Genomic DNA, 6,487 nt, shown 5'->3' on the forward strand with positions numbered 1-6,487 from the left:
AACCAATAATCCCTGTTCTGCCTCTCCCTCCCCATTTCCCCAAGTCCCTTTTCTCCAAAGTAACCATTTTAGACATTTTTTTTTAATAGCCTAATCTTGGAAGTGACATTTTAGAGGCTTCTTCTGGCATTTATATATCTCTGCTTTTCCTAAATAATACACTGCTAATGCTAATTTTTGATTAATCAATTTTAGACATAATGTAATGACTTCTTGTATAGTGGATTCAGGATTTAGCTCTCTTACACCACTGTCCCATCTGCTTCTTCTCCCCTATACTCCCAATAGAATTGTACTACAATTTTTTCGCTACATCAGTATTTAGTATTTACATTATTATGCCTTACAACTATTTACTTGTTATGTTATTACAAGCACACCAAAATTATATATATATTTTGTTTTTTTGAGACAGGGTCTCACTCTGTCACCCAGGCTGAAGTGCAGTTGCATAACTTGGCTCACTGCAGCCTCCGTGCCCCCAGCTCAAGCAATTCTTCCACCTCAGCCTCCCGAGTAGCTGGGACTACAGGTGCCTGCCACCATGTGTGGCTAATTTTTGTATTTTTTGTAGACACAGGGTCTCACTATGTTGCCCAGGTTGGTCTTGAACTCCTGGCCTCAATCCGCCCTCCTGCCTTGGTCTCCCAAAGTGCAAGGATTACAGATGTGAGCCACCATGCCCTGCTCAAAATTATATTTCTTTTCCAACTTTTGCTTTTCCTAAATCTAATAATTGCCTTGGTTTTTCACCTGCTTAATTTTCTTTGTAATTATTACCTATAGTTATTTCTTTGACACTTTACAATAATCTTTCACTACAGATTCCCTTGTAGTCAATTACATCAGGTAATCTGTCTGTTCCAATTTTTCTCTTGAAAAATTGAAAATGAGTCTCCTAGAGACTCCCGGAGACTCATTTTCTTATCTGATTGCACCCTAGCCCTTCTGCTTAGCTGTCTTCCCAGCACTTTTCTTCCCTGTCATCCTGAGAATTCTTTTTTGCCTTTTTCTGAGTTGGGATCCCTGTTGCCTAGAATTTGTATCTTTCTCTTTCTCAGTTTGCACCCCTGTTTGGGAGATATCTGTTCCAGTAGTTTCATCAGTTTTAACCTGATGATACTCCTCAGTGAACCTCTCTTGAATCACCTTACTCTTTGGCCTGATTATGCTCGACACTTGGTGCAATGCTGTGATCCTAGAATCTCTACTGATTGTCACTCTTCAGGTGCTCTTCATCTCTTTCCTTGTTGGATCTTGTTTGTTTGTTTGTTTGTTTACTCCTATATTTTGGTGGGAAAGTGTATATGTCAGAGAAAATTTCTTCATCCTATCTTCACACTTGATTATAGTCTGAAAAGTATAGAATTCTTAGGAAGTATTTGCTTGCAGAATTTTTAAGCCATTGCTCCATTCCCTTCTTGATTCCAATGTTGTTAAGGATCCTCAAGACATTTTGATTCCTGATTGTATACAACCCATTGTTTCTTTTTGGAAGTTTTCAGAATCTTCTCTTATTTATTTATTTATTTATTTATTTATTTATTTATCTTTATTTTAGAGACAGGGTCTCGCTCTGTCACCCAGGCTGAAGTGCAGTGGCAGGATCATAGCTCACTGCAGCCTGGACCTAGTGAGCTTAAGCAATCCTCCTGCCTCAGCCTCCTGAGTAGCTTGGACTACTCAGGCATGCACCACCACACCTGGCTAATTTTTTAATTTGTTGTAGACATAAGGTCTTGCTAGGTTGCCCAAACTGATCTCTAACTCCTGGGCTAAAGTAATCCTCCCAAAGTGTTAGGATTACAGGCATTACAGGATTACAGGATTCCACTACACCCTGCTAGAATCTTCTCTTTTTCTTTGGTGTTCTGAAATTATACAACAGTGTTCTGAATTTCACTAAGTGCTGAGATATGAATATATTTTCATTCACTGTGCTGAGCAACTTCTGGAAGACAAAATCCTCTCCACAATTGGCTCAGCAAGTGAAGAGATCTTAGGAGGTCACATGCCAGCTATTTTACACTTTGGTCCAGAGTGAGATACTAATCACCTCAGCCTGCCTAATTGCTAAGTTCCTGGGAAATGTGAGGAGCAGAACAGAATATTTGGTAAACACCACTATCTCTGACATAGGAAGAGTGGACTATAGAAATTTTGTTATAAAGGGAAGGAGAGATAAGGTAGTAGCTAGGGTGACAGGAGGTGAGTGGATTTTTTGTTTTTCTTTTTTTTTTGAGACAGAGTCTCACTCTGTCGCCCAGGCTGGAGTGCAGTGGCGTGATCTCAGCTCACTGCAACCTCCACCTCCCAGGTTCAAGCAATTCTCCTGCCTCTGCCTCCCAAGTAGCTGGGATTACAGGCCCGTGCCACCACACCCAGCTAATTTTTGTATTTTTAGTAGAGACGGAGTTTCACCATATTGGTCAGGCTGGTCACAAACTCCTGACCTTAGGTGATCCGCCTGCCTTGGCCTCCCAAAGTGTTGGGAATACAGGTGTGAGCCACTATGCCAGGCCTGTTTTTTGTTCTTCTAATTAGAAGAGAATTGCATGTGTTTAGAGGAGAAGGAGTGGTTAATCAAGGGGCATGGTATTGGTCTTGGAGAAGGTGGAAGGAAGAATGATGTGCCTTAGAAAGGAGATCTGACCCTCTTTCTCTGAGACTGGCAGGAAGGAAGTGAAGGAAGTATAGTTAGCTAAATGTGTAGGTGTAGAAGCAGGAAATTGAAGTTCACACCTGATATTTTAAATTTCCTAAGAAGTAGGAAGCAAGTCAATTGCCAAAATTGGTAGTAGTGGTGGTGTGGTGGAGAAGGGACCAGAAGTAGGTTATGGGCGTTCAGGAGCTTGGAGAAGTTTCTTGAATCTATCTCCACTAAGCCATCTGCCTTCGGATGGACAACTATTAATACAATAGCTTCCCATCTGATTTACTTACCTCCATTAAGCCCTTTCAACATACTACAAACAGGCTGACCTTTTTTAAAAGGACGTATCAGATCATGCCACCCTCTGCGTGAAACTGTACACTTGCTCAAAATCCTTGAAATGACCCAAATATTTGGTTCACATTGTCTTCTTAGTCTTAGCCTCAACCTTCCATACACTCTAACAGGAACCCTTTTCATTTCCTTCCTCCTTTCCTCCTTGAGGCCTTCACAGATACTCTTCCTTGCACGAGGAGAGCACTTCCATTTCACTCCTACTCCTTTCACTTGGCTAATTTTAACCCTTTCTTTAGGTCTCGAATTAAATGTCACTTTCTCAGAGAGGCCTTCCCTGATTCTTTGGTCTAGGCTAGGTCTTCCTATTGTAAGCTCTTATGATACTTGGAGTTTTTTCCTTGGTAGCACTCTTCACAATTGTAATTATAGTTGGCCCTTGAACAACATGGGATTGAACTTCATGGGTCCATGTTTACAGGAATTTCCTTCTGCCTCTGCCACCCCTGAGACAGCAAGACCAATCCCTCCTCTTCTTCCTGCTGCTTGGGCTATTCAACAGGAAGATGATGAGGATAAAGACCTTTATGATGATCCATTTCTGCTTAATAAATAGTAAATATATTTTCTCTTCTCTTCCCTGTGATTTTCCTTTTCTTTTTCTTTTTCTTTTTTTTTTGAGACAGAGTCTCACTCTGTCGCCCAGCCTGGAGTGAAGTGGTGTGATCTTGGCTCACTGCAACCTCTGCCTCTCCAGTTCAAGCGATCCTCCTGCCTCAGCCTCCTGAGTAGCTGGGACTACAGGCATGCATCACCATACCTGGCTAATTTTTTTGTATTTTTAGTAAAGACGGGGTTTCACCATGTTGGTCAGGATGGTCTCAAACTCCTGAGCTCAAATGATCTGCCCACCTCGGCCTCCGAAAATGCTGGGATTACAGGTGTGAGTCACTGCACCCAGCTCCCTGTGATTTTCTTAATAACATTTTCTTTTCTCTAGCTGACTTTAGTGTAAGAACATAGTATATAATACGTATAACATACAAAATATGTGTTCATCAACTGTTTATGTTATCAATAAGATCAACAGTAGGCTATTAGTAGTTGTATTTTTGGGGAGTCAAAAGCTATACATGGATTTTCAACTGTGCAGGGGGTCAGCCCCTTAACCCCCATGTTGTTCAAGGGTCAATTGAATATGTTTGTATATAGTGAACAAGGGATCTGTCCTCCACTAGACCATAATTCCATGAAGGTAGGCACTGTGTCTGTTTGGTCTACTGCTACATGTTTAACATGTAGCACATTGCCTGGCATGTAACAGATGACAAATAGTTGTCAAATGAATAGGTTAATCAATTTTGTTAATTAACCCATATCTATTGTGAAGAGAGAATCAAGGTCACAATACCTATGAGAGCCCAATCAAGAATGGAGACCGCTTTTCCCAGGCGGCTGCCGAAGATGGCGGAGGTGCAGGTCGAGGCCATCTCCTGGGCCTCCTGGTAGCCATCGTGGCTAAGCAGGTACTGCTGGGCCGGAAGGTGGTGGTTGTACACTGCGACGGCATCAACATTTCTGGCAATTTCTTTTCTTCTTTTTTGAGAGAGCTTCGCTCTTGTTGCCCAGGCTGGAGTGCAATGATGTGATCTTGGCTCAAAGCAACCTCCATCTCCCGGGTTCAAGTGATTCTCCTGCCTCAGCCTCCTGAGTAGCCGGGATTACAGGCGCCACCACCACGCCCAGCTAATTTTTTGTATTTTTAGTAGAGATGGGGTTTCATCACGTTGGCTAGGCTGGTCTTGAACTCCTGACCTCAGGTGATCCACCCGGCTCGGCCTCCTAAAGTGCTGGGATTACAGGCGTGAGCACCACACCCGGCCATTTCTGGCAATTTCCACAGAAATAAGTTGAAGTACCTGGTTTTCCTCCACAAGTGGATGAACGCCAACCCTTCCCGAGGCCCCCTTACCACTTCCAGGCCCCCAGCAGCATTTTCTGGCCGACCCTGCGAGGCATGCTGCCCCACAAGACCAAGCGAGGCCATGCCACCCTGGACTGCCTCAAGGTGTTTGACAGCATCACACCACCCTAAGAAAAGAAAAAGTGGATGGTGGTTCCTGCTGCCCTCAAGGTCGTGTGTCTGAAGCCTACAAAAAAGTTTGCCTATCTGGGGCACCTGGCTCATGAGGTTGGCTGGAAGTACCAGGCAGTGACAGCTACCCTGGAGGAGAAGAGGAAGGAGAAAGCCAAGACCCACTACTGGAAGAAGAAACAGCTCACGAGGCTACGGAAACTGGCCGAGAAAAACGTGGAGAAGAAAATTGACAAATACACAGAGGTCCTCCAGACCCACGGACTCCTGGTCTGAGCCCAATAAAGACTGTTAATTCCAAAAAAAAAAAAAAAAAAAAAAAGGAGACCACAGCACTACTGCAGAGTCAGTCTGCAGGGTTATGTTCAACAGCTTCATTATGGGGGTGGAGAAAGCAGATAGTTGAACTGATGCAAGGTGGGTGTGGAAGAAAGAGGATAATGTTGGTCTTCATGTGGCACTATAAGGTCTAGGCAGAATAGGGAAGGGAAATATCAAGAGGAGTGATGAACTTGGTAGAAAATGGTAAGGCCAAAGACCTGGTGGAGTCCAGGATATGAAGGAGAATGTATGGTGGGAGTAAGAGTGAGAGAGCTAGGGAGCCAGGAGGTGATAGTCAGAGATTTAGTACTCCAGACCTTAAGATCTCAAAAGTGGAGCAGTGCCAGGTCTTTAAAAAGTCCAGGATATAATCATGGAAATGAATGAGTGGAATGGCTGTAAGGTGGTGGTTACTGTTGCCAAAAATAAGGAATACGGAGGCTAGGATGTTAAGTGGTTCCATACAGTGAAGTTACCTAGGTGATAGCGAGACTTAAAGTGAAGAAGACTTTGTGCCAGGTACCAAAATCTTTAAGGACTGAAGTGGTCAGAGGATGACTCCTATAAAGATAGCATATAAGATGGCATGAGCCCCAAACACAGGCCTTCCTCTCGTTCTTTCCATTCTTGGATCAGTCATTCAACAGTCAAAGTTCCAGGACAGAGGGTCTGATAGGCTGAGCTGGATGGTATAAGCCTCAAAGGACAAGTAAATTTTGCAAGTGGCAGAAGTAACGTGGTAGGTTAGTGTCAATGGGGAATGACAAGACTGCCAGTGAAGTCCCCAGTAGTATATGGAAGATGTGAGAAAAGGCAGTGTCTAATCAAGAAGCTGGAAGGCCCAGGCGCGGTGGCTCACGCCTGTAATCCCAGCACTTTGGGAGGCCGAGGTGGGTGGATCATCTGAGGTCAGGAGTTCGAGACCAGCCAGGCCAACATGGTGAAACCCCATCTCTACTAAAAATACAAAAATTAACCGGGCATGGTGGCATGCGCCTGTAATCCCAGCTACTCAGGAGGCTGAAGCAGGAGAATCACTTGAACCTGGGAGGTGAAGTTTGCAGTGAGCCGAGATCGCGCCATTGTACTCCAGCCTGGGGGACAAGAGCAAGACTTCATCTCAA

General features: G+C 43.9%; 1 pseudogene; it reads left to right on the forward strand.

The window, feature by feature from the left end:
- The first annotated feature begins 4,887 nt into the window (after window positions 1-4,887).
- On the forward strand, window positions 4,888-5,349 carry LOC105376670 (60S ribosomal protein L13a-like; annotated as a pseudogene).
- The last annotated feature ends 1,138 nt before the right edge of the window (window positions 5,350-6,487 follow it).

This window comes from Homo sapiens, chromosome 11 (genome assembly GCF_000001405.40).
Source record: "Homo sapiens chromosome 11, GRCh38.p14 Primary Assembly".
In the NCBI taxonomy this organism is placed as follows: domain Eukaryota; kingdom Metazoa; phylum Chordata; class Mammalia; order Primates; family Hominidae; genus Homo; species Homo sapiens.